The sequence below is a fragment of the Homo sapiens genome, chromosome 17 (assembly GCF_000001405.40).
Source record: "Homo sapiens chromosome 17, GRCh38.p14 Primary Assembly".
Taxonomy (NCBI): domain Eukaryota; kingdom Metazoa; phylum Chordata; class Mammalia; order Primates; family Hominidae; genus Homo; species Homo sapiens.
Genome location: NC_000017.11, coordinates 81,937,856 through 81,964,893, shown reverse-complemented (window position 1 = coordinate 81,964,893; position 27,038 = coordinate 81,937,856). Strand labels below are relative to the sequence as shown.

The window sequence follows — 27,038 nt, the reverse complement described above, 5'->3', positions numbered from 1 at the left end:
AATGGACTCATACCGCATGTGCCCTTCAGTGTCCAGTTCATGTCACTTGGCTGATATTCTCAAGATTCACCCACAGTGCAGCATATGTCAGAACTTCGTTTGTTTTACGGCTAGAATATATTCCGTTGTATGGCTGTGTTCCATTGTGTTTACCCACTCATCTGCTGATGGACTTTGGGGCTGTTTTCCGCCTTTTGGCTACTGTGACTAGTCCTGCTGTGAACATTCATGAGCCAGTTTTTGTTTGAACACTTGTCTTCAATTCTCTGGGTGTATCCCTGGGAGTGGGCCTGCTGGGTCACGTGTTTTGTGTAACATACTGAGGAGCCACCAAACCGTTTTCCATGGTGAGGGACGTGGCCACTGCACTGTCCATCCCCACAGCGATGCTCTGGGGCTTCTGTGTCACCGCGGCTGCACCCACGCTTGTTAGTTTCTGTGTTTTGATCGTGGTCATCTTAGTGGGCATGAGGTAGCATCTGACCCATTACTGATGGACCTGGGTCCCCCTTTCTTATACCTGTCAGGGCCAGGTTGGTCCCATCTTGATGCAGGTGGCCTGGAAGCAAAGGCCCAGCACCTGCTGGCCCATAGGACCCGCCACGGGAGCTGCTGCCAGGCTCTGGGTGCTCAAAACTCCGGGTGGGGAGTCCCAGGTGCAGAGGATAAAGCTGTCCCAGGGGCTGGGGAAGTGTGAGGACAGAGCCAGTCGGTGTGAGTCAAGAGGAGGACATGGGTGTGAGCAGCTGCTGAGCCTCGGGAGCCCCGTCCCCGGCCGTAGGACTGCAGCCTTGTCAGTCATCCGGTCACGGCAAGGGGCTTCGGAGGAGAGGGGAATGGGGGGAGGTGGAGGAAGGGCAGAGGTTCTGGGGAAGTCTTGGGTTTGAGCCTCTTCTGGCGTCTGCTACCAGTGTTGAATAAACCAAAATGTGAACTCATTTCGGTTCAACATGCAGGCTCCATCGCATTACAGGAGACGTCAGAAACTGTAACGCACATGGTCTTCTCCCGTCCTGGAATTTTCATCGGTGATCATGACTGCCACCCCTACCGCGCAATTTCACAAGTGGGCTCTTATAATCCCACAACAGCCCTCTGACAGAGGCACTGTTATCACCCCGCTTTAAAGGAGAGGAAGCGGCGGGGCACCGTGGCTCACACCTGTAATCGCAGCACTTCGGGAGGCCAAGGTGGGCGGATCACGAGGTCAGGAGACTGAGACCATCCTGGCTAACACGGTGAAACCCCGTCTCTACTAAAAATACAAAAAAGTTAGGCAGGCGTGATGGGACACGCCTGTAGTCCCAGCTACTCGGGAAACTGAGGCAGGAGAATTGCTGGAACCCGAAAGGCAGAGGTTGCAGTGAGCCGAGATCACGTCATGCTCTCTAGCCTGGGTGACAGAGCAAGACTCTGTCTCAAAAAGATAAATAAATAAATAAATGAGAGGAAGCACAGGCATAAGGAAAGGTCACAGGCCTTCCCTGGGATGTCCATACTGCACCAGGAGATGGCTCAGAGCCAGGGCGGTGTGAAGATCAACCCTGTGCAGCCAGCTGGAAGATGCCATCACGCTCCGGACTTGGAATAACAGGTGCCCGGCGGGAGAGGCCTCCTCCGGACAGGTTCCTGCTGGACGCTGAAATCTGCCCTGGGTCAGCCTTCCCCGCCGGGGTGTGGGTGGGAGAACGCCTCAGGATGGGACCTGCGTCTGAAGCTACTGCCCTTGGCCAGCCCCACACTTGGCTTTTAAACTGACCCGACGGCGGAGGGACAGCAGGGGGGATTTCTGAGTGAGCAGAGAGCTAAGGGTGAGCCTCAGCTCTTCTGTTAGTGTCCCTGAACCTCAGTTCCCCTCGTCAGGAAAATGCTGCAACCTGCCCTGTGGGGAGAGGGACCTGAGTTTGTGACAGCCTGCCTCCCTCTGAGAATGTCCCCAGGTTAGGCTGACCTCCAGGGCACCCCAGCCTGATCTTAGGCCTTGTGGTTTACACTGGGGTGCCTTACACCCATCGAATGCGCGGGGCAACAGCTCCCAGCGTTTGGTCTCTCTGTTTCACAAGAGCCCAGGTAACTCGGCTGTCTGCGGGTGCAGGCGGCGCTGGGACTTTCTCCCTAAGCTCCTCACTCAGCCCGGGGCTGGCAAGGAGGACGTCCACATGGCCCCGGCCGGCGGCTCGGGGGCATCCTGGCTGCAGGCACCGCCCTGCGCCTCTGCTCTCCTGCCCCACGTGGTGCCGTAGGCTCCCCACTGTCCTGAATTAGGAGGGGCTCTGGAAGCTCTGCTTGTGTCTAGATCGTTGTCCTGAAATGTAAGACCTGGTTGTCCTGAAACGTAAGACCTGTTTCCTATTTTTAAAATGGGTGTCATGGCGCCCAGCAGGCTTCAGACCGGAGGGTGAAGGAGAAAGTCTGCCCGGCCCCGCTGGCCCTGCGTATGTCCTTTCCTTTCTTTTGTCCATCCCACCCGCGCTCACCCCAGCAGGAAACCTCCTGAACCCCTCCTGTCCACCCTGCTCCAGTACTGATTTCCCACAGGAACCTTGTTCTAACCCCACTGCCCAGAGCCTCGGGAGTGGACAGGGGTGCTCTCCAAGGTGAAGCATGGGGCAGGTGCCCTTCGTGGCATGAAGGGCCGCAAGCAGAGGCCTAGCGGGCAGCCACTGGACCCTTGGCCTCCTCCCCCAGTGGCGGCTGGGGCAGGTTCTTGGGGGGTCCTCGGCATGGGGCCAGCAGCCAGGCTGGGGCGGGCGGAGATCCAGGACCTCACCTCTGGCCCCGCGATCTCCTTAAGTCGTAGCTGCTTCTCTGACCCCAGCGCCAGCAGGAGCGCCCCGGAACTGAGCGACTCCCCCGCGGCGCCTTGCTGGGGCGCGCGGTCCCTCCCGCAGGTCTCCGAGGGAGCCAGGACCTCGCGCCCCACCTGTCCGCTTCTCCAGGAGGCCCCGGCGCCACTGCTGCCGGGCCCTCGGCTGGAAGCCCTGTGTCCGCCGCCGCTTTGATCCCGGGGGGCCCTGCTGGATAAAAGTCCCTGGCGGCTCCGCGCCAGCGCCAGAGGGGGAGCGCAGCCGAGCCGGGCGCACCAGCGGGACGGCGCAGGGCCAGGGGCGCTGAGAGGACGGGGCCACTGGGCCGCCCGCGCTGGCCGCGGTGAGAGCGGGGCCCCAGGGCTGCGCGAGGTGGGGCGATGCGGGCCGGGGTCCGAATCCCCCACGGCCTGCTCTGGGCCTGGGCACTGGGGGATGAGAGGGACACTGGCGGCTCCAGGTGAGCGCGCCTGCCCCGCGCCCCCAGCCCGTCGGGCTCGGCCAGCTGCGCCGCGGGCGGAGTTCCCCGCCCCCCACCCCGGCAGGCGCGGAAAAGCCTCGCCCCTCCCCGTCGCCGCCGCCCCTTCCAGCTGCCCCGCGGGGGGGGGCGGCGGCGCCGGGCTGGCCGCGGTGAATGGAGCCGCCGGGGCCGCCCGGCCGCGCTGCCCCCCCACGGAGCCGGGCCGGGAGCGCCTCCGGCGGCCGCGGCGGGGTAGTCCAGGCCCCTCCGTCAGGCTTGCGGTTTGGGAAGAAAAGGCGATGCCTCCGCCAAGAAAAGAGCGAGCGCGGCCCCCTCCCCCCTCCGCCGAGCCCGGGCGGCGGCGGCGGCACATCTAACGCGCGGGCACCCGGGCCGCCGCGGCCCCCGCAAATAAGCCCAGCCTCGGCCCCCGCCGCTCATTGGCGCGGGCCGCAGCCAGCGCACCCAGACCCTGCGCTGCCCTCGGACGGCCGGGCGCGGAGCCCCAGCTGCGGAGGCCGACGGCACCCGGCCCCGAGCGCCTCGACGCCGAGCCGCGCGCGCCTTCTCCGCCAGGCCCGGCGGGCGGGAGCGGGGGCGAGGGAGCAGGAGCGGCCAGTGCCCCCGACACCCCCGGCCCGGCACCCCCGGCCCGGCATCCCCCGCCGCCGCCGCCGCCGCCTCAAGGCCGCCCGCTCCCCGCAGGTGGACGCGGCCATGGGCCGAGGGGTGCGCGTGCTGCTGCTGCTGAGCCTGCTGCACTGCGCCGGGGGCAGCGAGGGCAGGAAGACCTGGCGGCGCCGGGGTCAGCAGCCGCCTCCTCCCCCGCGGACCGAGGCGGCGCCGGCGGCCGGACAGCCCGTGGAGAGCTTCCCGCTGGACTTCACGGCCGTGGAGGGTAACATGGACAGCTTCATGGCGCAAGTCAAGAGCCTGGCGCAGTCCCTGTACCCCTGCTCCGCGCAGCAGCTCAACGAGGACCTGCGCCTGCACCTCCTACTCAACACCTCGGTGACCTGCAACGACGGCAGCCCCGCCGGGTAAGGCCCGCGCCCTGCACCTCCCCGCCCCGCCCGACGCGCCCGGTCTCCGGCTGGACCTTCCCTGCGGGCCGCGGCCGTTCTCTCCCCGGGGAGAAAGGGCTTCCGTCGGGCGCCCCGCGGTCCTGGCCCCGAGGAGTGCCCGGTTCGGTGACTCTCCGCGTGGGGAGCGGAGCGGCGCTGGAAGGGCTGGTCCCCGGCCAGCTCGGGCACTGACCCCTCGGCCTCTGGGCCCAGCCGCTCTGCTGGCGTCCTTCGGTCCCGGGGCGGGGAGATGGCAGCCCGAGAGCGCGCCTGGCTCCAGCGGGAACCGGCGACACCGGGGGGCGGGGAGAGGCCCGCTGCCCACCTCCTTGCAGCCCCGAAGTAGATAAAAGACGTGAGGTCGGGGGTCGGGGAGCGGCGGGGCCGCCCACGCGCTCAACAGGCCGAGGACAGCCGGGGACAGCGGGAGACTTGGGCGTGGGGTCGGGGCTCGGCAGGAAGGCTCCCCCGCCGGGTCGGTGCCGCCCGCGCCTCCCGCGCTCCCCGCGGCGTCCCGTTCCCCCGCCAAGCGCGCTCCTTCAGTGCGGACGCGTTTCACGCTTCAAGCGCCGCCGCGCGCCCCGGGAGGACCGCCGCCCGCGCCGAGGTGACAGCGGGACCCGCGCCGGGCGGAACGTGGGGATTTTCCACGGACCACAGCCCCGCGCGGCCCGTTCCCCGCCCCGCGAGCGCCACCTCCCGGGACCGCCGCCGTCCCTGAGCTCCCCGTGGGCCTGGCCGAGGGCGCCCCCGTGCGACCGTCGCGCGCGGCCGGAACAGGTGGCGCGTTCCCTCCGCCGGAGCTGGGCGCGCGGGGCGCGGCGGGTCGGCAGCCCTGGCCGACCCCCCGCGGTGCGTCCTCCCCCGCAGCTACTACCTGAAGGAGTCCAGGGGCAGCCGGCGGTGGCTCCTCTTCCTGGAAGGTGCGTCCAGGGCTGAGGCGGGGGGAGGCCGGGGGTCTGTGCGCGCGGGCCTGAGCGGCGGTCGTGTCCGCAGGCGGCTGGTACTGCTTCAACCGCGAGAACTGCGACTCCAGATACGACACCATGCGGCGCCTCATGAGCTCCCGGGACTGGCCGCGCACTCGCACAGGTCAGCGGCGGGCCCTGGGGAAGGCGTCTCGACGTGAGGCCCGGGAGGAAGCCGCGCCCGCCTCCTGGAGCCCCAGCCAGGCCCCCACCCCGCACATCATGCCCAGCCTGGCGCCCGGGTTTACTAAGAGCAAGGGGCGCCCTTCACTCTTGCCTTTTGGGGCCCATTCCACATTAGCATTCAGGCGCTTACCCAGCGGCTCTGGCCCTCCCCAGGGTCAAAGCAGGGCAAGGGGTTGAAGTCAAGGTCAGACCTGGTGTCCAGCCTAGCCGGGCACCGTGGCCATGGTGGCTTCCCGGGGGTAACTAAACCCAACTGTCCTCCACTTTCCCGGCAACCTTGGTTCGGGCTAGCAACACCAGCACACCTCCCTTCCTGGGGCCAAGTAGGAGCCCCAACACCTCACCAGGGTTCCCAGACCCGACCCTACACAGCCTCCTCCCGCTAGAAAGACCCACCGCCTCTGTGTCCCCAGGCACAGGGATCCTGTCCTCACAGCCGGAGGAGAACCCCTACTGGTGGAACGCAAACATGGTGTAAGGGGGCACAGGGTCTTGCCTGGGAGTCCTGCCTGGAGGGTGGTTCTTCCCGGGGGGTCCTTCCTTGGGAAGTCATATTCTGAAATGGTCTTTCCTGGGGGTCCTGTTCTGGATGGTTCTTTTGGGGAGGTCCTGTCCTAGAGGGGTTCTGGAGGTGTTTCTTTCGTGGTGGGGAGGAGGTCCTGTCCTGGGATGGTCCTTCCTGGTGGGGAGGGGTCTATCCTGAGATGGTCCTTCCTGGCAGGGTCCTCTCCTGGGATGGTCCTTCCAGGGGGATCCTGTCCTGGGATGGTCCTTCTTTCCTGGGGGGTCCTGTCCTGAGTTGGTCTTTCCTGGAAAGGGTCCTGTCCTGGGTTGGTTCTTCCTGAGGAGTATTACGCTGGAGGTCTTTCTTGAGGGGAAGTTCTATCCTGGGATGGTCCTTCCAGGGGAATCCTGTCCTGGGATGGTCTTTTCTGAGGGTCCTGTTCTGGGGGTCCTTTCTGGAGGCTGCCGGGCGGCAGGCGCTGTGACAGGCTCACTCTGTTCTGTGTTGCAGCTTCATCCCCTACTGCTCCAGTGATGTTTGGAGCGGGGCTTCATCCAAGTCTGAGAAGAGTGAGTCTCGGCCTTCCCAGGGCATGGCAGGGCAGGGACGGGGCCGGATGGCAGGGCAGGGAGGAGGCAGGACGGCAGGGCAGGGATGAGGCGGGACGGCAGGGGTTCTGGGGAAAAGCTGACTCTCAGCCTTGTCGTGCTTTCAAAGCCCTTGACAGTATGTCCCAGGGTGCCTGCCCCATGCTCCCACTGCCTGCTTGTCCACAACTGTAGGAGGTCCTTATTTCTGAATATTCCCTGGGGAGGAGGCCCCAGCATGGCCTGGTGCACCCGCCTTCCTCCAGTCCACCCAAGCCCCTGACCCCTTCTCAGAAGATTCCTCCCAGTCCCCCAGTGGGGCAAGAACTTCTCTGCCAGCCATTCTGGGGTAGGAGGTGGTTCTCTCTGTCCAGGCCCCTACCTGAGGCCACCCCCTCCCTCTTGCAGACGAGTACGCCTTCATGGGCGCCCTCATCATCCAGGAGGTGGTGCGGGAGCTTCTGGGCAGAGGGCTGAGCGGGGCCAAGGTGCTGCTGCTGGCCGGGAGCAGGTGGGCAGGGCGGGGCAGGGCTGGAGGTGAGGGGTGAGGACGGTGTGCAGGGTGCATGGAAGGGGTGTGGGGTGGGGTTGTATGAGAGGCGAGGATGGAGTGGAGCCTGTGCAGATCTTGGCAGGTGGCTAGGAGGGTGAGAGGCTGGAGCTGGGAGAACCCGCATCATTGGAGACGTCTCTGAGGCCTGGCTTCAGAGTGCTGGGTAACCAGACACTGTCCAGAGGATGCTTCTGGACGCCATGGTTGTTGGATATAGGGGAAGGTTTGGGCTGCAGGGACCTAAGTCGTTGGTTAGGGGTTGGCCATGGACTAATGCTCCTTCTCCAGGGCCCGGTAGATGAGGATCACCCCTGTGGGTTCCTGTATCCCAGCAGGCATACAGGAGACCAGGAGACAAATGGGGAATAGATGATGGGGCCTGAGGCCACATAGTTTATCTTCATTTTCAGATAAGGAACCTGAGGTAAAGAGACAGAGAGAGGAAGGGGAGGAGGAAGGGGAGAGCCTGGCTGTGTCAGGGAAATGTGGCCTGCCAGCCTGAGCCCTGGCCTGCTCTGGAGGGGACGGCCATGGGTCTTGCACGTGAACAGAGAATGCAGAATGCATCCGCAGTTCAGAACGCATCAGGACTCCTGCCCCCCTCGGGGCACGGGCTGACGCTGAGCAGACTCGGGGGAGGTGAGTGCCTCTTCCCAGCCACCTGGCCTCACGTCTGGCCCTCCTTGCAGCGCGGGGGGCACCGGGGTGCTCCTGAATGTGGACCGTGTGGCTGAGCAGCTGGAGAAGCTGGGCTACCCAGCCATCCAGGTGCGAGGCCTGGCTGACTCCGGCTGGTTCCTGGACAACAAGCAGTATCGCCACACAGACTGCGTCGACACGATCACGTGCGCGCCCACGGAGGCCATCCGCCGTGGCATCAGGTGCCGCAGCGGGGAGGGCCCGTCCTCGTGCTGCAGCTTTGCCCCAGAAGGGCCTGGGTGGAGTGGCATCTGTGGGTGGGGAGCCCCGGGGGACGAGACCCACGGCAGCCTAACCTGTGGCTGTGGCTCCAGGTACTGGAACGGGGTGGTCCCGGAGCGCTGCCGACGCCAGTTCCAGGAGGGCGAGGAGTGGAACTGCTTCTTTGGCTACAAGGTCTACCCGACCCTGCGCTGTGAGTGGGCGGCAGAGCGGAGCACACAGGGCAGCAGGGGTGGCCACACTTCCTTGCTTCTGAAAATCCAGCGTGGACTCCAGTCTTCTGGGCTGGGCTTGGAGACCACGGCCCTGGTCCAGGGAGGAGTCCGGCTGTGTACCAGGGAGGAGGCCGGCTGTGTACCAGGGAGGAGGCCGGCTGTGTACCAGGGAGGAGGCCGGCTGTGTGCCAGGGGGCCTAGTCGCTGCGGCATGCCTGGGACTTGCCTGCCCTCAGCACTGACACCCCTCAGTCCCAGGCAAAGTGGGACAGGTGGTCACCCTGCCTATACCGGTGGCTAGTGTGCTTTGGAGCTCATCCCCATGCTGCCCCTCCCTGCTGCAGGGTCCTGGGCTAGTTCCTCCCCAGCCCCACGCTCTGAGGAATGGTGAGGTTATATGCAAGGGCATCATCACCATATTTAGGTGAAAGTGGAGTCGCTGAGAACCAGGCCAAGGTCATGGAGGGGTTAAACAGAGCCCGTCTTCAAGGAAAGGCAGTTTATTGATTTAGTTGTTGATTTAGTTATTGATTTAGTTATGAAGCTGTGGATTATAAAAAGGCTGGTTTGAAAGAAGGAAGCCACATTCTGTGGGGGCCTATGACTGACACCCCTGGGGAGAGTTGGGCCAAGGCTAGCTGGCCTGTGAGCCTCAGCAGCACTGCAGGGGGCCTGGGAGGGTGCTGAGCTCTGCCTGGGGTCGGGGGCAGCAGCGGGGACCTGGGGGTGCTGAGCTCTGAGCCTGGGATAGGGGGCACTGCAGGGGCCTGGGGGGTGCTGAGCTCTGAGCCTGGGATGGGGGGCACTGCAGGGGCCTGGGGGTGCTGAGCTCTGAGCCTGGGGTGGGGGACACTGCAGGGGCCTGGGGGTGCTGAACTCTGAGCCTGGGGTGGGGGGCACTGCAGGGGCCTGGGGGTGCTGAGCTCTGAGCCTGGGGTGGGGGGCACTGCAGGGGCCTGGGGGTGCTGAGCTCTGAGCCTGGGGTGGGGGCACTGCAGGGGCCTGGGGGTGCTGAGCTGTGAGCCTGGGGTGGGGGCAGCAGCGGGGGTCAGGGGAGGCCGAACTGAGCCCCGCCGCCCGCAGGCCCTGTGTTCGTGGTGCAGTGGCTGTTTGACGAGGCACAGCTGACGGTGGACAACGTGCACCTGACGGGGCAGCCGGTGCAGGAGGGCCTGCGGCTGTACATCCAGAACCTCGGCCGCGAGCTGCGCCACACACTCAAGGACGTGCCGTGAGTGTGTGGGCCCCGGGAGCCCCACGCCGGGTAGCTCCCTCCTTATTTAAAAATAGAGGTCCTGAGAAAACAAAAGAAGAAAAACCAGAACAAAAAAAAATAGAGGTCTTGTAGGCCGGGCGCAGTGACTCACACCTATAATCCCAGCACTTTGGGAGGCCCATGCAGGTGGATCACCTGAGGTCAGGAGTGCGAGACCAGCCTGGCCAACATGGCAAAACCCTATCTCCACAAAATATGCAAAAAATTAGTCCGGTGTAGTGGCAGGCGCCTGTAATCCCAGCTACTCAAGAGGCTGAGGCAGGAGAATCACTTGAACTGGGAGGTGGAGGTTGCAGTGAGCTGAGATTGTGCCACTGCACTCCAGCCTGGGTGACGGAGTAAGACTCTGTCTCAAAAAATACATATATAGAGAGAGAGAGAAAGAGAGAGAGGAGAGAGAGAGAGAGAGAGAGAGAGAGATCGAGATCGGTCTTGGGCCTGGCACACTGGCTCACGCCTATAATCCCACCCCTTTGGGAGGCCGAGGCAGCAGGATTGCTGGAGGCCAGGAGTCTAAGACCAGCCAGGGCAACATGGTGAAACCGTGTCTCTACTGCACATACAGAAATTATCCAGGCATGGTGGCATCACCTGTAATCCCAGCTACTCAGGAGGCTGAGGCAGGAGGATCCCTTGAGCCCAGGAGTTCAAGGTTACAGTGAGCTAACCTTGCCTGTGGGAGGCAAGCAAGCTTCGATTGTACCACTACACTCCAGCTGGGGCGATAGAGCCAGACCCCGACTCAAAATAAAATGAAAATAGAGTTCTAGATAGTAGCAGAATATTTGCCTGTCTAGGGCAGCCTCTTGCCATCACCTGGGAGGGCCTGCCTGGAAGAGGTGGACTCTGAGCAGGGATTTGAGGCACAAAGCGATAAGGGTCAGCCGGGAGCTGGCCAACTAGGGGGAGGCCCGGGCCAGAGGAACAGCTGGCAGCCATAGCAACAGGAAGGGGTGATGGCCAGGCGGGGGACAGCTCTAGGGGAGTGGGGGTGGAAAAGGGGCTGAGGGGGTAAGGAGCTCACAAGCCACTGTCTCCTCTCCAACAGGGCCAGCTTTGCCCCCGCCTGCCTCTCCCATGAGATCATCATCCGGAGGTCAGTGTCCCTGCTCCGGGCAGCTTGCGTCCATGACATCAACTTCAAAAGTCCACATGCTCCCCAACCGCACTTGGCCTCCCATGGGCCTCTTCTTGGCGCTTCTAGGGGTGGGATTTCCTTATAGGGGTGCCAGAGCCACTTGTACCAACAGCTGTATGGCAAGAATTAAGACTCAGGCTGGGTGCGGTGGCTCACGCCTGTAATCCCAGCACTTTGGGAGGTTGAGGCAGGTGGATCACCTGAGGTCAGGAGTTCGACACCAGCCTGGCCAATATAGTGAAACCCTGTCTCTAGTAAAAATACAATTAGCTGGGCGTGGTGGCGGGTGCCTGTAATCCAGCTACTCCGGAGGCTGAGGCAGGAGAATCGCTTGAACCTGGGAGACAGAGGTTATGGTGAGTCGAGATTGCAACATTGCACTCCATCCTGGGGGCAACAAGAGTGAAACTCCATCTCAAAAAAAAAAGAAAAAAAAAAAAAGACTCAGGCTGAGCAGTGGCTCACACCTGTAATCCCAGCTACTCAGGAGGCTGAGGTGGGAGGATCACTTGAACTCAGGAGGTTGAGGCTGCAGTGAGCAGTGATCACACCACTGCATTCTAGCCTGACAGGCAGAGGGAGACCTTGTCTCAAAAAACAAAACAAAACAAAAAAACCCAGGCTAGATACGGTGGCTCACGCCTGTTATCTCAGCACTTTGGGAGGCCAATGGGGGCAGATCACCTGACGTCAGTTCGAGACCAGCTTGGCCAACATAGTGAAACCCCATCTCTACTGAAAATACAAAAAATTAGCCAGTCTCGGTGGCACACGCCTGTAATCCCAGCTACTCGGGAGGCTGAGGCAGGAGAATCGCTTGAACCCGGGAGGCGGAGGCTGCAGTGAGCCGAGATCCTGCCATGGCTGGTCTCAAAAAAAAAAACAGCTGCCTCAGTGTTGATGCCACTCCGCACATGTGACCCCCTCCCCCGGTTTTCCTCTGCAGCCACTGGACGGATGTCCAGGTGAAGGGGACGTCGCTGCCCCGAGCACTGCACTGCTGGGACAGGAGCCTCCATGACAGCCACAAGGCCAGCAAGACCCCCCTCAAGGGCTGCCCCGTCCACCTGGTGGACAGCTGCCCCTGGCCCCACTGCAACCCCTCATGCCCCACCGTCCGAGACCAGTTCACGGGGCAAGAGATGAACGTGGCCCAGTTCCTCATGCACATGGGCTTCGACATGCAGACGGTGGCCCAGCCGCAGGGACTGGAGCCCAGTGAGCTGCTGGGGATGCTGAGCAACGGAAGCTAGGCAGACTGTCTGGAGGAGGAGCCGGCACTGAGGGGCCCAGACACCCGCTGCCCCAGTGCCACCTCACCCCCCACCAGCAGGCCCTCCCGTCTCTTCGGGACAGGGCCCCAGCCGTCCCCCCTGTCTGGGTCTGCCCACTGCCCTCCTGCCCCGGCTTTCCCTGCCCCTCTCCCACAGCCCAGCCAGAGACAAGGGACCTGCTGTCATCCCCATCTGTGGCCTGGGGGTCCTTCCTGACAACGAGGGGGTAGCCAGAAGAGAAGCACTGGATTCCTCAGTCCACCAGCTCAGACAGCACCCACCGGCCCCACCCATCAAGCCCTTTTATATTATTTTATAAAGTGACTTTTTTATTACTTTAATTTTTTAAAAAAAGGAAAATAAGAATATATGATGAATGATATTGTTTTGTAACTTTTTAAAAATGATTTTAAAGAGACAAAAAAGAACCTCACCCTGCCCGCGTGTTTATTTGCTTCACACTTCCCCTCCTCCTCTCCCTCCCCTCCCTCCTCTCCCTCCCTTCCTCCTCTCCCTCCCCTCCTCCTCTCCCTCCCCTCCTCCTCTCCCTCCCCTCCTCCTCTCCCTCCCCTCCTCCTCTCCCTCCCCTCCCTCCTCTCCCTCCCTCTCTCCCCTCCTCTCCCTCCCCCACCTCCCCTCCCCAGCCCCACAGCAGCAGGGAGACAAAGGGAGGGGCCGTGGGGACTCTCCAACTCTGACCCCTTCTTGGATGCACAGACTCAGAGCAGGGTCTTCTGGAGGGGCCCTGCTTCCCTTCAACCCTTCTGCAGATACCCACTTCCCAGGGCGGATGGCACCAGCTGCGTTTCTTTTTACTTATTCATTTATTTAGAGACAGGATCTCATCGTGTTGCCCAGACTGGAGTGCAGTGGCACAATCACAGCTCACTGCAGCCTTGAACTCCGGGGCTCAAGCAATTTCCCCACTTTGGCCTCCTGAATAGTTGGGATTACAGGCACGCGCCACCACACCCGGCTACTGTTTTAATTTTTTGTAGAGATGGAATATCCCTTTGTTGCCCAGACTGGTCTTGAACTCCTGGGCTCCAGCAATCCTCCCTGCTCAGCTTCCCAGTGTGTTGAGATCACAGGCATGAGCCACTGCACGTGGCCCCTTTTCATTTTATTATTTTTTTTGGGAAGAAATTCGCATAACAGGATGAGCCATTTCCAAGTGAGCGACTCGGCATCTGTCGCACTCAGAGTGCCGTGTGACCCCCGTTTCTGGTTTCAAAACTCTTGCCAGGCGTGGTGGCTCACACCTGTAATCCCAGCACTCTGGGAGGCCAAGGCAGGCAGATCACAAGGTCAGGGGTTTGAGATCAGCCTGGCCAACATGGTGAAACTCTGTCTCTACCAAAAATATAAAACATTAGCTGGGTGTGGTGGCATGCACCTGTAATCCTAGCTACCCGGGAGGCTGAGGCAGGAGAATGGCTTGAACCCGGGAGGCAGAGGTTGCAGTGAGCCGAGATTGCATTGCACCACTACACTCCAGTCTGGGCAACAGAGCGAGACTCCGTCTCAAAAAAATAAATAAATAAAAAATAAATTTTTTTTTTTTTGAGACGGAGTCTCGCTGTGTCTCCCAGGCTGGAGTGCAGTGGCACAATCTCGGCTCACTGCAACCTCTGCCTCCTGGGCTCAAGCGATTCTCCTGCCTCAGCCTCCTGACTAGCTGGAATCACAGGCATGTGCCACCACGCTCAGCTAATTTTTGTATTTTTAGTAGAGATGGGGTTTCGCCATGTTGGCCAGGCTGGTCTCAAACTCTTGACCTCAGGTGATCCACCCGCCTCAGCCTCCCAAAGTGCTGGAATTACAGATGTGAGCCACCACGCCCACTCCCTAGTTTCAAAACTCTTTATCAATCCAGAACACTTCCTACCCAGCTGACAATTCCTTAAACATTTGCATTTTATTTCTTTCTACTAGGTCATTCCTGCACATGGTTCAAAATTCAAAAGATGCAGAAGATATGAGGGCGAATGCCCATTTCCCCCACAGCTCAGGTTCCCTGGCTCTGCTTCCAAGGGCAAACAGTGTTACCTTGTGGATATTCCCAGAGATCATTTCGTGAAAATTCCGGTAAACAGGTGCACACGTTGACATACATGCATTTTTTTCTTTTACACAGATGGCTACACACTACACACTGGTGTCTCCTCCTCTTGACACTGTATTTCGGGGCGCGCAGTGAGCTGCCGCAGGTGTGACAGTCCAGGGCCTGCGGAGGGCTCTGCGGCACACGCAGGTGCAAAGGGTGCACGTGCATAGCCTTGTCGTGTGGTCATCACGTTGCATGAGGGCAAGTATGTCTGTGGACTAAACCCCAGATGTGGGATTCCTGGGGCAAAAACATGAAGCTCTAGCCTGTCACCCCAGCACTTTGGGAGGCCAGCGTGAGATGATCGCTTTGGCCCAGGAGGTTGAGACCAGCCTGGGCAACAAAGGGAGACCCCGTCTCTAAAAAAAAAATTAAAACATTAGCTGGGTGTGGTGATGTACACCTCTGGTCCCAGCTACTCAGGAGGCCGAGGTATGAGGATCACTTAAGCCTGGGAAGTCACAGCTGCAGGGAGCAGTGATCGCGCCAGTGCACTCCAGCCTGAGTGACAGCAAGACCCTGTCTCAAAAAAAAAAAAAAAAAAACAGACCAGGTGCGGTGTCTCACACCTGTAATCCCAGCACTTTGGGAGGCTGAGACTGGTGGATCACTTGATGTCAGAAGTTCAAGACCAGCCTGGCCAACATGGTGAAATCCTGTCTCTACTAAAACTACAAGAATTAGCAGGGTGTGGTGGTACACACCTGTAATCCCAGCTACTTGGGAGGCTGCGGCAGGAGAACTGCTTGAACTTGGAAGGTGGAGGTTGCAGTGAGCCGAGATTGTGCCACTGCACTCCAGCCTGGGCAACAGAGCAAGACTCTGTCTCAAAACACACACACAAACGTACCCATGAATCTCTGTAGTTTTGATAATACCAAGGTCACACCAATGCCAGCCTTGGGCATGGTTGTGGGTGGAGCTTTCTGAGCAAAGCATTCCATGCCAATTGTATGTAGCCCTACGAGGTGGGTTTCATTATAAACGCCAGTTTACAGGCCGGGCGCGGTGGCTCACGCCTGTAATCTCAGCACTTTGGGAGGCCGAGGTGGGTGGATTGCTTGAGGCCAGGAGGTTGAGACCAGCCTGGGCAACATGGTGAAACCCCATCTCTACTAAAAATACCAAAAAAAAAAAAAAAAGGCCGGGCGCAATGGCTCATGCCTGTAATCCCAGCACCTTGGGAGGCCGAGGCGGGTGGATCACGAGGTCAGGAGATCGAGACCATCCTGGCTAACACGGTGAAACCCCGTCTCTACTGAAAATACCAAAAAATTAGCCGGGTGTGGTGGCGGGTGCCTGTAGTCCCAGCTACTCGGGAGGCTGAGGCATGAGAATTGCTTGAACCCAGGAGGCAGAGGTTGCAGTGAGCTGAGATCATACCATTGCACTCCAGCCTGAGTGACAGAGCAAGATTCTGACTCAAAAAATAAAATAAAATAAAATAAATACTCCAGTTTACAAAGAAACAGGCCCAGAGAGGCAATGTGACCATAAGGGTCAGAGGACACGGGGCCACGTCAGCCTGAGCTTCACACCTGCCCTGCGGCCACGGCTCCATTCCCAGAGTGGCCAGGACCGTAGGACCCTGTGCCTTGGGGACATGTCCTGGGGTCTGACTCTCTGTGCCAATGAGTCAGGGCTGCCCTGGGCCTGAGAATACCCAGACAGGACTGGTGCCCGTGGGCAGGTGTCTGCCACCCCAGGCAGAGCCAAGTGGCCTGTCCACGATCCCCCTGTGGAGCACTCCTATGTGGTCTCTGGAGGGAATCCATGGAGTCCCAGCAGCCAATGGAGACGACAAGGTCAGAGATGTGGAGACCGAGGGCTGGAGGTGAGAGAAGGGGTCCGGGGGAGTCTGGTGGCCTCCTTCTCGGGGCCTCCAGAGCCAGACCTCCAGGCAGGGCCTTGGACAGGACTCCCCACAAGGACAGAGCTCGGGAGGGAGAGGGGGCTGGGGAGCCCGAAAGAGGCCTGGCTGTCACCCTGTCTGGGGAGACTTTGCTGGGACCCCTGCCGTGCTGTGGGAGCTGGGGGAGCCACATGCGAGGTGCTGGCTCTTGGCCAACTCTGGCTTGAGCACTGCAGTCTGGCAGGCGTGATGTTTGCTCCTCTGAGGTGGCTGAAAGGGACCTGAGGGCGGATGGTGGTGTGTGTCTGGGGGGACCAGGCTCACTGAACAGGACACTTGTGGGTTGGGCCCAAAGGGATTTCACCGACAAATAAACCCTTTCTTCCCACATTTGTGCCGAAAGAGAAAGAGGCGCAGCTCACCTAATGGTCAATCGGTCAATCGCTGCCATGCTGTCCTGCAGGACCAGGGACAAAACGAGCCCTAGGACACGAAGAGGACGCTGGCCTGTAGCTCCGCAGTGACGGTGACCCCAGGCTGTCCTGCAGGACCAGGGACAAAACGAGCCCTAGGACACGAAGAGGACGCTGGCCTGTAGCTCCGCAGTGACGGTGACCCCAGGCTGTCCTGCAGGACCAGGAACAAAACGAGCCCTAGGACACGAAGAGGACGCTGGCCTGTAGCTCTGCAGTGATGGTCACCCCAGCTTGTCCACGCTGACTTCTCACCTTTCCCAGGACGGTTGGCGCCTTTCATTCTCTGGGGCGAAAACAGTCAGGACATTCATCCAACACTGAGCCGTGTCTCTTCCAGCAGCGATGGCCAAGGCATAGCCTTTGCTATTCAGGGACTGAAAGCAGGGAACTTCCACTGTGTGACAACATTACAAATTTAAACTCTGTACTTAAAAAAAGAAAGCCAGCTGGGCGTGGTGGCTCACGCCTGTAATCCCAGCACTTTGGGAGGCCGAGGCAGGTGAATCACGAGGTCAGGAGATTGAAACCAGCCTGACCAACATGGTGAAACTCTGTCTCTACTACAAATAGAAAAATTAGCTGGGTGTGGTGCTGCGTGCCTGTAATTCCAGCTACCCAGGAGGCTGAGGCAAGAGAATCTCTTGAACCCAGGAGGCGGAGATTGCAGTGAGCTGAGATCATGCCACTGCACTCCAGCCTGGGCAACAGAGCGAGACCCCATCTTCAATAAATAAATAAGTAAAAATAAAAATATTTGTTAACGTTTGTGAATGTATACCACAGCAGCAACAAGCGTGCCTGGCCCCCATGTCTTGGTCTCTGATGCCATTCCCCCAACACAAGGAACCAGGTTCCTGGGAGACACGGCTGACTCCAGGGCTGGGCTGGTGTCTGAGACAGGAAAAAAAAACAGTGTTTTCCCTGCTCTCACACACTCAACAGTCAACATCCAACATGGAATACTTCATCTCTGGTCACCAAAATGTGTGTGGGGATTTTCCCCAAACACCAAGCAAGTCTCCAGTGGACACCTACTAGGCATCCTCCAACCCTGCTCCAGCGAGTCTCCGCAGGCACCCACTGGGTGTCCTCCAACCCTGTTCCATCCAGTCTCCGCGGACACCCGCTGGGCGTCCTCCAACCCGGTTCCATCCAGTCTCCGCGGACACCCGCTGGGCGTCCTCCAACCCTGTTCCATTGTGACGCTTTCTCCCTGGAGACAGTACCCGATCCTGCAGGCTAAGGTCTCAGTCCCACAAGAGTGTCCTCCACTTCAGATGCCAGTCCCAAGTACAGCTGTCCCTTTGTATCCTTGGGGGATGGGATCCAGTACCTCCAAAACACCAGAATCCACAAGGCCAGAGTCCCTGATACAAAATGGCATGTTATTTGCATATAACCCCCTCCTCTGGACTTAAATCACCTCTTGATTACTTATAACACCTGGTATGTAAATTCTATGTAAACAGTTGTTACATAGTATTGCTTTTTAAATTTGTATTATTTGTATTATTATTACTATTATTTTGAGATGGAGTCTCCCTCTGTCACCCAGGCTGAAGTATAGTGGCATGATCTTGGCTCACTGCAATCTCCGCCTCCCAGGTTCAAGCAAGTCTCCTGCCTCAGCCTCTGGAGTAGCTGGGATTACAGTCACATACCACCAGGCCTGGCTAATTTCTGTTATTTTTAGTAGAGACGGGATTTCACCATGTTGGTTGGTCAGGCTGGTCTCAAACTCCTGACTTCAGGTGATCCACCCACCTCCGCCTCCCAACAGTGCTGGATGTACAGGCATGAGCCACTGCGCCTGGCCTTATTTATTGTTTTATTTATTTATTTTTTGTATTTTCTTTTGAGACGGAGTCTTGCTCTGTTGCCCAGGCTGGAGTGCAGTGGCGCGATCTCGGCTCACTGCAAGCTCTGCCTCCCGGGTTCACGCCATTCTCCTGTCTCAGCCTCCCGAGTAGCTGGGACTACCAGCGCCCACTGCCACACCTGGCTAATTTTTTGTATTTTTAGTAGAGACGGGGTTTCACCACGTTGGCCAGGATGGTCTCGATCTCCTGACCTTGTGATCCGCCCGCCTCAGCCTCCCAAAGTGCTGGGATTACAGGCATGAGCCACCGCGCCCGGCCTTTTCTTCTTTTCGAGACTGAGTCTTGCTCTGTCGCCAGGCTACAGTGCAGTGGCACGATCTCGGCTGACTGCAACCTCTGCCTTCCGGGTTCAAGCGATTCTCCTGCCTCAGCCTCCCAAGTAGCTGGGACTACAGGCACCCACCACCACGCCCGGCTAATTTTTGTATTTTTAGTAGAAATGGGGTTTCACCATGTTGGCCTGGCTGGTCTCAAACTCCTGACCTCAGGTGATCTGCCTGCCTCAGCCTCTCAACGTGCTGGGATTACAGGCGTGACCCACCGCGCCGGGCCAGTATTTTTTGTATTTTCAGTCTGAGGTTTGTTGAATACTTGGGTGTGGAACCTGAGGACAGATGACCAAATGTAGCAGGTGTCACCCGCCCTCTGGCCAACCGAGGTTCCCATGGCCCCTCCTCCAGTTTTGTGACTTTGCTGGAGTGGCTCACAGAACTCAGGGAAGCACTTTCCTCATTTTATTATTTATTGATTTACTTTTGGAGATGGGGTTTCATTGTGTTGCCCGGGCTGGAGTGTGACGGCATAATCACAGTTCACTGCACCCTCAACCTCCTGGGATTAAGCAGTCCTCCCACCTCAACCTCCCAAGTAGCTGGGATTACGGATGTGCACCACCACGCCCAACTCATTTTTTTTTTTTTTTTGAGATGGAGTCTCACTCCGTTGCCCAGGCTGGAGTGCAGTGGTGCAATCTCAGCTCACGGCAACCTCGGTCTCCTGGGTTCAAGCGATTCTCCTACCTCAGCCTCCCCAGTAACTGAGATTACAGGCATGTGCCACTACACTTAGCCAATTTTTTTTTTTTTTGAGACAGAGTCTTGCTCTGTTGCCCAGGCTGGAGTGCAGTGGCACTATCTTGGCTCACTGCAAGCTCTGCCTCCCGGGTTCACGCCATTCTCCTGCCTCAGCCTCCTGAGTAGCTGGGACTACAGGCGCCCATCACCACGCCTGGATAATTTTTTGTATTTTTAGTAGAGATGGGGTTTCACTGTGTTAGCCAGGATGGTCTCGATCTCCTGACCTCGTGATCCGCCCACCTTGGCCTCCCAAAGTGCTGGGATTACAGGTGTGAGCCACCGCACCCAGCCAATTGTTTTTTTTTTTTTAAATATAGACAGAGTTTTACCATGTTGGCCAGGCTGGTCTCAAACCCCTGACCTTAAATGATCTACCTGCCTCGGCCTCCCAAAGTGCTGAGATGACAGGCGTGACCTACTGCGCCCAGCCAATTTTCGTATTTTTTGTAGAGATGGGGTCTCACTATGTTGGCCAGGCTGGTCTGGAACTCCTGAGCTCAAGTGATCTGCCTGCCTCAGCCTCCCAAAGCGCTGGGATGACAGGCGTCAGCCACCGAGCTCCGCCAACACTTTATTTATGTTTCCCCATGTGTGACAAAGGACCCAGATGAACAGCAGATAGAGGCAATGCTGTTCATCTGGAGGCCTCTCCAGGGAGCTTCCAGGACCCTCCAAGCATTCCGCCACCTGGAAACCTCCCAACCCTGTCCTTTTGGGTTTTATGGAGACTTCATTACGTAGGCATGACTGATTACATCATTGGTCACTGGTGATCAGCTCAGCCTTCAGCCCCTGTCCCTCCTGGAGGCTGCAAGTGGGGCTAGAAGCTCTGCCCTTCTGATCACATAGTAGCTGCCACCAACCCCCCACCCCAAGGCTGTCCAGGAGCCCACCAGGAGTCGCCTCATTAGAACAAAAGACGCTCCTGTCACCCAGGAAATTCAAGGGGATTGGGAGCCCCATGTCAGATGATCCTATGGGTTAGGAGATTATAAAGGTTTTAGGAGCTCTATGTCAGGAACCGGGGTCAAAGACCAAATACCACAATAAAAGACTCCTCCTGCCTCTGTCTGAAAGGGTCTTAGAAGTTCTGTCTCAGAAACCCAGGGCAGAGATTCAGTAGGCATTTCTTTTTCTTTTTCTTTCTTTTTTTTTTTTGAGGAGTCTCGCTCTGTTGCGATCTCAGCTCACTGCAAGCTCCGCCTCCCAGGTTCACGCCATTCTCCCACCTCAGCCTCCCGAGGAGCTGGGAGCTGCCCTACAGGTGCGTGCCACCATGCCCAGCTAATTTTGTTTTTGTATTTTTAGTAGAGACGGGGTTTCACTGTGTTAGCCAGGACGGTCTCAATTTCTCCTGACCTTGTGATCCGTCTTCCTCGGCCTCCCAAAGTGTTGGGATTACAAGTGTGAGCCACTGCGTCCGGCCCTTTTTTTTTTGAGACGGAATCTAGCTCTGTCACCCAGGCTGGAGTGCAATGGCGTGATTTCGGCTCACTGCAACCTCTGCCTCCTGAGTTCAAGCGATTCTTCTGCCTCAGCCTCCTGAGTAGCTGGGACTACAGGCACGTGCCACCACACCTGGCTAATTTTTTTGTATTTTTAGTAGAGATGGGGTTTCACCATGTTAGCCAGGATGGTCTGTATCTCCTGACCTCGTGATCCATCCACCTCAGCCCCTCCCAAAGTGCTCGGATTGCAGGTGTGAGCCACCGCGCCCGGCTGGATTTAAGTTTTTCTAACTAAAAAGTCCAGGAAATACATACAAGGATATACCAGAAGATGTTCAAAGTGGTTGAATCCAGGTGATGGAATTACAGGCAATTTTTCTTTCTCTTTTTAGTAACAAAGCTGGGCGAGGTGGCTAACGCCTGTAATCCCAGCACTTTGGGAGGCTGAGGCGGGCGGATCACGAGGTCAGGAGATCGAGACCATCCTGGCTAACATGGTGAAACCCCGTGTCTACTAAAAATACAAAAAATTAGCCAGGCGTGGTGGCGGGCACCTGTAGTCCCAGCTACTCAAGAGGCTGAGGCAGGAGAATGGCGTGAACCTGGGAGGCAGAGCTTGCAGTGAGCCGAGATTGCGCCATTGCACTCCAACCTGGGCAACAGAGCGAGACTCTGTCTCAAAAAAAAAAAAAGAAAAAAAGAAAAAAAAATTAGTAAGAAATCATTTTTTCCGGCCGGGCACAGTGGCTCATGCCTGTAATCCCAGCACTTTGGGAGGCCGAGGCAGGTGGATCACGAGGTCAGGATATCGAGACCATCCTGGCTAACATGGTAAAACTCCGTTTCTACTAAAAATCCTAAAAATTAGCCGGGCGTGGTGGCAGGTGCCTGTAGTCCCAGGTACTCGGGAGGTTGAGGCAGGAGAATGGCGTGAACCTGGGAGGCGGAGCTTGCAGTGAGCAGAGATCACGCCACTGTACTCCAGCCTGAGCAACACAGCAAGACTCCGTCTCAAAAAAAAAAAAAGATATCATTTTTTTCCTTTTTAAAAACATTTCATATTTTAGCTTAAAAATGGAAGAGGTGGAAGTGAGTGCAAGTGGTTAAATAAATAAATAAGTAAATAAATAAAAAGGCTGAGGCAGGAGGATCACTTGAGCCTGGGAGGTCGAGGCTGCAGTGAGCTGTGATCTCACCACTGCATTCCAACCTGAGCGACAAAGCTAGACCCTATCTCGAAAAAAAAGAGGGGCCGGACCTAGTGGCTCACGCCTATAATCCCAGCACTTTGGGAGGCCGAGGCAGGCGGATCATGAGGTCAAGAGATCAAGACCAGCCTGGCCAACATGGTGAAACCCGGTCTCTATTAAAAATACAAAAAAATTAGCCAGGCATGGTGGCTCACGCCTGTAATCTCAGCTACTTGGGAGGCTGAGGCAGGATAATTGCTTGAACCTGGGAGCCGAGATCGCGCCATTGCACTCCAGCCTGGGTGACAGAGCGAGGCTCCATCTCAAAAAAAAAGGGAAGAGTTGAGTGTTTTTCTAGGTGTTTAATGTGAAGGACAAGTGAAAAGCCCCAGAATGGCCCCTGCAAACAGTAACAGTAACTAACAGTCAAATGTCTCTGCCCCAGGCAGGTTAGGGACGAGACAGAATGAGGGTGGGGAGCGGGGCTCGGGGAGCAGAGGCCACGGTCTCCATGCTCTGCTCCTCTGGCCGCAGCAGAACCCTGTGAACCCCAGGCAATGACAGCAGGATCCTGAAGCCCATGCAGGCTCTGAACCACGCGGCCATCCAGAAGGGGTGAGATAAATGTTGGGGAAACCATCCCCGACCCCCGCGAGCCCCAGGAGCCCAGGCTGCCGCCTCCTGCCTCCTACACCCCTCCCCCGCACAGCTGGCCCTGGAGGCTGCTGGAGCTGGGGTTACCCCGTGGGGACCCTCATGCTCTTTGCTCCCCTCCTTCTCCCTCCCCCTCCCCCACAAGCGTGAAACCAACTGACCGGATTGACAGATGCAGGTGCGCGGGAGGCGGAGGTGGGGGTGGTGCCAGCAGCCAATGGGTTAATGGTCCCGGCAGGGGCTCCACAGGGGACCAGGGGTCAGATGTCTCTCTAAGATGGGGACAGGCACGCAAGCTGCTATTCCGGGGCTCTGATCACGGCTGTCTATTTATAGCGCTGGGGGGAGCCGCCTCACATAGACAGCAGAGAGGCTGCCCTGCTGCAATGTCACCGTCGTCACTGCCTCTGCAGGCTGCAGGCACCTGCCACTACCGCAGAGGACTGAGGGGCCTTGGCCCAGCAGGGACCCCAGGGCCTTGGGGGACTGTGTGAGCTGGAAACGTGGCTGGCCAGATGGGCAGCACCATGGAGCCCCCTGGGGGTGCGTACCTGCACCTGGGCGCCGTGACATCCCCTGTGGGCACAGCCCGCGTGCTGCAGCTGGCCTTTGGCTGCACTACCTTCAGCCTGGTGGCCCACCGGGGTGGCTTTGCGGGCGTCCAGGGCACCTTCTGCATGGCCGCCTGGGGCTTCTGCTTCGCCGTCTCTGCGCTGGTGGTGGCCTGTGAGTTCACACGGCTCCACGGCTGCCTGCGGCTCTCCTGGGGCAACTTCACCGCCGCCTTCGCCATGCTGGCCACCCTGCTATGCGCGACGGCTGCGGTCCTGTATCCGCTGTACTTTGCCCGGCGGGAGTGTTCCCCCGAGCCCGCCGGCTGTGCTGCCAGGGACTTCCGCCTGGCAGCCAGTGTCTTCGCCGGGCTCCTCTTCCTGGCCTACGCTGTGGAGGTGGCCCTGACGCGGGCCCGGCCCGGCCAGGTGAGCAGCTATATGGCCACGGTGTCGGGGCTCCTCAAGATCGTCCAGGCCTTCGTGGCCTGCATCATCTTCGGGGCGCTGGTCCATGACAGCCGCTACGGGCGCTACGTGGCCACCCAGTGGTGCGTGGCCGTCTACAGCCTGTGCTTCCTGGCCACAGTGGCCGTGGTGGCCCTGAGTGTGATGGGCCACACAGGGGGCCTGGGCTGCCCCTTTGACCGGCTGGTGGTGGTGTACACCTTCCTGGCTGTGCTCCTGTACCTCAGCGCCGCCGTGATCTGGCCAGTCTTCTGTTTCGATCCCAAGTACGGTGAGCCCAAACGGCCCCCCAACTGTGCTCGGGGCAGCTGTCCCTGGGACAGCCAGCTGGTGGTGGCCATCTTCACCTACGTCAACCTGCTCCTGTACGTCGTTGACCTCGCCTACTCCCAGAGGATTCGCTTCGTGCCCAGCCTGTAGCCCACAGTGGCAGCCCACCCACCTCTGCTCTCTGGCCACCAGCTCCAGGCTCTGCGAGGGAAACTCAGGTGAACCAAAGTGTCAAGTAGCGAGCAGGAGGGAAGCCGCGGGCTCAGGGGAGATGAAGTACAACGGGAGAGGTCACTCCCCGACTTCCAGACTGGGCTCAGAGGGACAAGGGCAGGACAGTAGGGCAGAGGCCCTGAGCAGACGCAGGGGAGAGCCTCACCTAGGCCAATCCCCAACTCACTCTCTCTCACCATTTCCCAGCGCTCCTGGGGCTCAGTGCTGGTCACTGGAACATCATAAGGGAAAACTTTAAAGCAGCTGCTGTTGTGACCCATTTTGCAGCTGGGGACATGGAGGCTAGAAGCATTTGCGAGGCACCCAGTACCTCCATTAGTGTCTGGAGACCACAGTCAGGCTGGGTAAGGCAAGCTGAAAGAGGAATGACTTCCAGAGGAGACGAACCCAGGAGAGTAGCTGGGCCAGGCAAGGGGAGGGAGGGGCGTGGGGAGCCGGAACCACTCCTGGTTCAGAGAGGCAGCTCCCAGAACCCTGGGAAGAGAGCCCTGCCTGGGGAGCTGTGCCAGCTCACAGAGAAGGAGCCAGAAATCTGGACCAGCCTCTCCCACCCACGTCCGGGAAGCCTCTGGGCTGGTAGCCACAGTGTTTGGAAGCAGGCTTCCTCCGGAGTCTCCGCAGGCTGGAGGTGGCGCGGGTGGCCTGGAAGAGCCTGCAGAGCCCGGCGGCACCGAGTGCACAGTGGACGGGGAGGACCTGGTTCCGCCATAGCCACGGAGCCCCACCTGGACACTCACCATTGGCTGTGACGAAGCAGCTTCAGCAGTGCCCGGCGGGCATCTGTGCACTGTGGGCATCTGTGGCACTGGGAGGGAGCCCGGCTGAGGGCGGCCGCTGGACACAGAATCTGGGTACTGCTTGCCTCTGCTCAAGGGTCCAGTTGCCGAAACTCCTGACGCCGGGGCCATCATCCTCCAGGCTCCAGCCAGCTTCTCCTGCACAGAAGCCCAGCCTGGTCCAGCCAGGAGCTGACCCACTGGCCACCCCTGAGTCCAAGCCGGGTGGGCAGTGGCACAACAGCCCCTCAGCCCATTGACTGGGCCCCATTGACGTCCTTGAGCAGGAAATAAATGCTGACATTTATACGTACCCTGCCTCTGGACCAGCAGTCTCTTCTGAGGGGACTGTGGGCACTTGCCCCTCCTGGCGGCCCCTCCTAGCGTGCTCTGGGGGAAGGCTGAGGAAGGAAGTGGCCTGGGATCACAGTCAGGGCAGGCTGGGCTCCTGAGGGTCTGAGCAGCCTCCTGGGGAAGGGGCAGGCAGCGTCTTCTGCCTCACAGGGGTGACAGGCCAGCCTGGCTCCGACGGGCCTGTGGCTCATGCCCGTCCCTCCCAGAGGCCCGCAGCACTCACCTCCTCCCCCACGCCCATCTGGGGGTCTCGAGAGGCCCTGGACACAGCGATGGACAGACGCACTGTTGCTCCTTTTAGACGGCGGTCCCCACAGCCAGGCCTGTGCTGCTGCCATGAAGAATGTGAGGAAGGGGCCTCACTGGCCGCTGAGGAGGGGTCTCGCTCACGTTAGCCAACAAACAGGGTCCGGCCGACATCCTTTACTCAGAGGGGGTGGGTGTTTTGGGGTCAATGGCAGATCCCAGATGAGGGCAGTCAGCTGTTCAGGGCCTGCCGCTGGCTGAGGGCGATACAGAGGGGGCATAGGGATCACCTGCTTCCTGACTCAGGGGAGACCTGGGCACCAGTCTTGGAGAGGACCCAGCCTCCTTCTCTCCTTTTTTTCATGTGGCCAGAATTCTGAAACGAGTTAATTGTCACCAACTTCCCAATTTCCTCCCTGTCCGGTGGTCCTCTGCCACCTTCGCAAAGGTCCTGAGGGACAGAAAGGAAGGGGAGGGGACCCAGGGCTGGGAGACTTCCTTCAGAGTCAGTCCTTTTGACAGTGTATCCCTGGCCCAGAGGGCTGTCCATTTTGGGTTTTTGGGTTTTTAGGTAAAAGTGTTACTTGCTGTTATCACTTGGGGAAAAGTGATTTTGTAACAGCCTGGGGAGCTTGGCTCTCAAAGCGCCTAGGCGATGCTAGCCTCCGTGCCCCAGGTTTGAGCTGTCCATCTGGACAAGCTCTTCCCATGGCCACCACAGAGCAGCCTCCCAGTGTTGGTGGTGGTCATTACGTGTTCACGGTGGGGGGACCAGGTAGACAGATAGCCAGAACGCGTGGCCCTGCCGCTGTGGCAGAAGCATCCCAGGCCTTCTGAAATGATGTGCTAGAATAGCCTGTCATCATCTAAGATACAGCACAGAAAAAATAAGGCAGCTCCTCTCACCCCTTGGCAGGGGAATGGGCTGCCAGTGATCCCTTCTGACTTCGCCCTTAATCTTGGCCACCGACAGGGACCCTGACTATCCAGAGCCCCAGATGCAGGCCCGAATCAGATGAACTCTGAGCATGTCCTCAGGGGGAAGTGACTGGAGCTTCACTCCCCCTAAAACCCAGGCAGGCGAGAGGTTTGGGTATTGGAGGATGCTCCGGGCTGCGTGGGAGTGGGGGCATGATGGGGTGGGCTTCCTTCGTTTGCTTAGTGGAGCACCGCTGCGTGCCCAGTTAGAGGAACACCTGTGGCCGCACTGTCATGCCTCTTTCTTTTCTTTTCTTCTTTTCTTCCTTTCTTTCTCTCTCTCTTTTTTTCAGATGGAGTCTCGCTCTTGTTGCCCAGGCTGGAGTGCAGTGGCGCAATCCCGGCTCACTGCAACCTCCACCTCCAGGGTTCAAGCGATTCTCCTGCCTCAGCTTCTCGAGTAGCTGGAATTACAGGCACCTGTCACCACGCCCGGTTAATTTTTTGTATTTTTAGTAGAGACGGGGGTTTCACCATGTTGGTCAGGCTGGTCTCGAACTCCTGACCTCAGGTGATCCGCCCGC

General features: G+C 58.8%; 2 protein-coding genes across 2 annotated transcripts, besides 9 other annotated features; both read left to right on the top strand.

Annotated features, from left to right (window-relative positions):
* The first annotated feature begins 3,706 nt into the window (after positions 1 to 3,706).
* On the top strand, positions 3,707 to 12,387 carry NOTUM (notum, palmitoleoyl-protein carboxylesterase). The gene is made up of 11 exons (NM_178493.6): positions 3,707 to 4,307; positions 5,202 to 5,254; positions 5,328 to 5,423; positions 5,899 to 5,959; positions 6,501 to 6,559; positions 6,986 to 7,088; positions 7,820 to 8,011; positions 8,144 to 8,244; positions 9,350 to 9,497; positions 10,591 to 10,638; positions 11,627 to 12,387. Exons 1-11 carry the CDS (start codon positions 3,985 to 3,987, stop codon positions 11,931 to 11,933), a joined length of 1,491 nt encoding a protein of 496 aa, NP_848588.3. The 5' UTR covers positions 3,707 to 3,984; the 3' UTR covers positions 11,934 to 12,387.
* Positions 4,361 to 4,504: a silencer, noted in NCBI's record as "fragment chr17:79918266-79918409 (GRCh37/hg19 assembly coordinates)". NCBI's record gives its function as "represses an EF-1alpha promoter that drives an FKBP-Casp9 reporter gene in an ReSE screen in HepG2 liver carcinoma cells {active_cell/tissue: HepG2}" and the evidence as "EXISTENCE:reporter gene assay evidence [ECO:0000049][PMID:32094911]".
* Positions 4,361 to 5,559: a biological region, named in NCBI's record as "H3K27ac-H3K4me1 hESC enhancers GRCh37_chr17:79917211-79917773 and GRCh37_chr17:79917774-79918336".
* Positions 4,434 to 4,996: an enhancer, noted in NCBI's record as "H3K27ac-H3K4me1 hESC enhancer chr17:79917774-79918336 (GRCh37/hg19 assembly coordinates)". NCBI's record gives its function as "activates a minimal SCP1, AML or CMV promoter by ChIP-STARR-seq in naive H9 embryonic stem cells {active_cell/tissue: H9 hESC(naive)}" and the evidence as "EXISTENCE:reporter gene assay evidence [ECO:0000049][PMID:30033119]".
* Positions 4,771 to 4,850: a silencer, noted in NCBI's record as "silent region_9174". NCBI's record gives its function as "represses an Ori minimal core promoter by ATAC-STARR-seq in GM12878 lymphoblastoid cells {active_cell/tissue: GM12878}" and the evidence as "EXISTENCE:reporter gene assay evidence [ECO:0000049][PMID:35858748]".
* Positions 4,881 to 5,220: a silencer, noted in NCBI's record as "silent region_9173". NCBI's record gives its function as "represses an Ori minimal core promoter by ATAC-STARR-seq in GM12878 lymphoblastoid cells {active_cell/tissue: GM12878}" and the evidence as "EXISTENCE:reporter gene assay evidence [ECO:0000049][PMID:35858748]".
* Positions 4,997 to 5,559: an enhancer, noted in NCBI's record as "H3K27ac-H3K4me1 hESC enhancer chr17:79917211-79917773 (GRCh37/hg19 assembly coordinates)". NCBI's record gives its function as "activates a minimal SCP1, AML or CMV promoter by ChIP-STARR-seq in naive H9 embryonic stem cells {active_cell/tissue: H9 hESC(naive)}" and the evidence as "EXISTENCE:reporter gene assay evidence [ECO:0000049][PMID:30033119]".
* Positions 7,243 to 7,826: an enhancer, noted in NCBI's record as "H3K27ac-H3K4me1 hESC enhancer chr17:79914944-79915527 (GRCh37/hg19 assembly coordinates)". NCBI's record gives its function as "activates a minimal SCP1, AML or CMV promoter by ChIP-STARR-seq in naive H9 embryonic stem cells {active_cell/tissue: H9 hESC(naive)}" and the evidence as "EXISTENCE:reporter gene assay evidence [ECO:0000049][PMID:30033119]".
* Positions 7,827 to 8,411: an enhancer, noted in NCBI's record as "H3K27ac-H3K4me1 hESC enhancer chr17:79914359-79914943 (GRCh37/hg19 assembly coordinates)". NCBI's record gives its function as "activates a minimal SCP1, AML or CMV promoter by ChIP-STARR-seq in primed H9 embryonic stem cells {active_cell/tissue: H9 hESC(primed)}" and the evidence as "EXISTENCE:reporter gene assay evidence [ECO:0000049][PMID:30033119]".
* Positions 15,907 to 16,407: an enhancer, noted in NCBI's record as "H3K4me1 hESC enhancer chr17:79906363-79906863 (GRCh37/hg19 assembly coordinates)". NCBI's record gives its function as "activates a minimal SCP1, AML or CMV promoter by ChIP-STARR-seq in primed H9 embryonic stem cells {active_cell/tissue: H9 hESC(primed)}" and the evidence as "EXISTENCE:reporter gene assay evidence [ECO:0000049][PMID:30033119]".
* MYADML2 (myeloid associated differentiation marker like 2) lies at positions 17,661 to 25,249 on the top strand. Its single transcript, NM_001145113.3, has 3 exons — positions 17,661 to 17,835; positions 22,521 to 22,598; positions 23,051 to 25,249. The coding sequence occupies exon 3, from the start codon at positions 23,153 to 23,155 to the stop codon at positions 24,074 to 24,076; it is 924 nt and encodes a 307-aa protein (NP_001138585.2). The 5' UTR covers positions 17,661 to 17,835; positions 22,521 to 22,598; positions 23,051 to 23,152; the 3' UTR covers positions 24,077 to 25,249.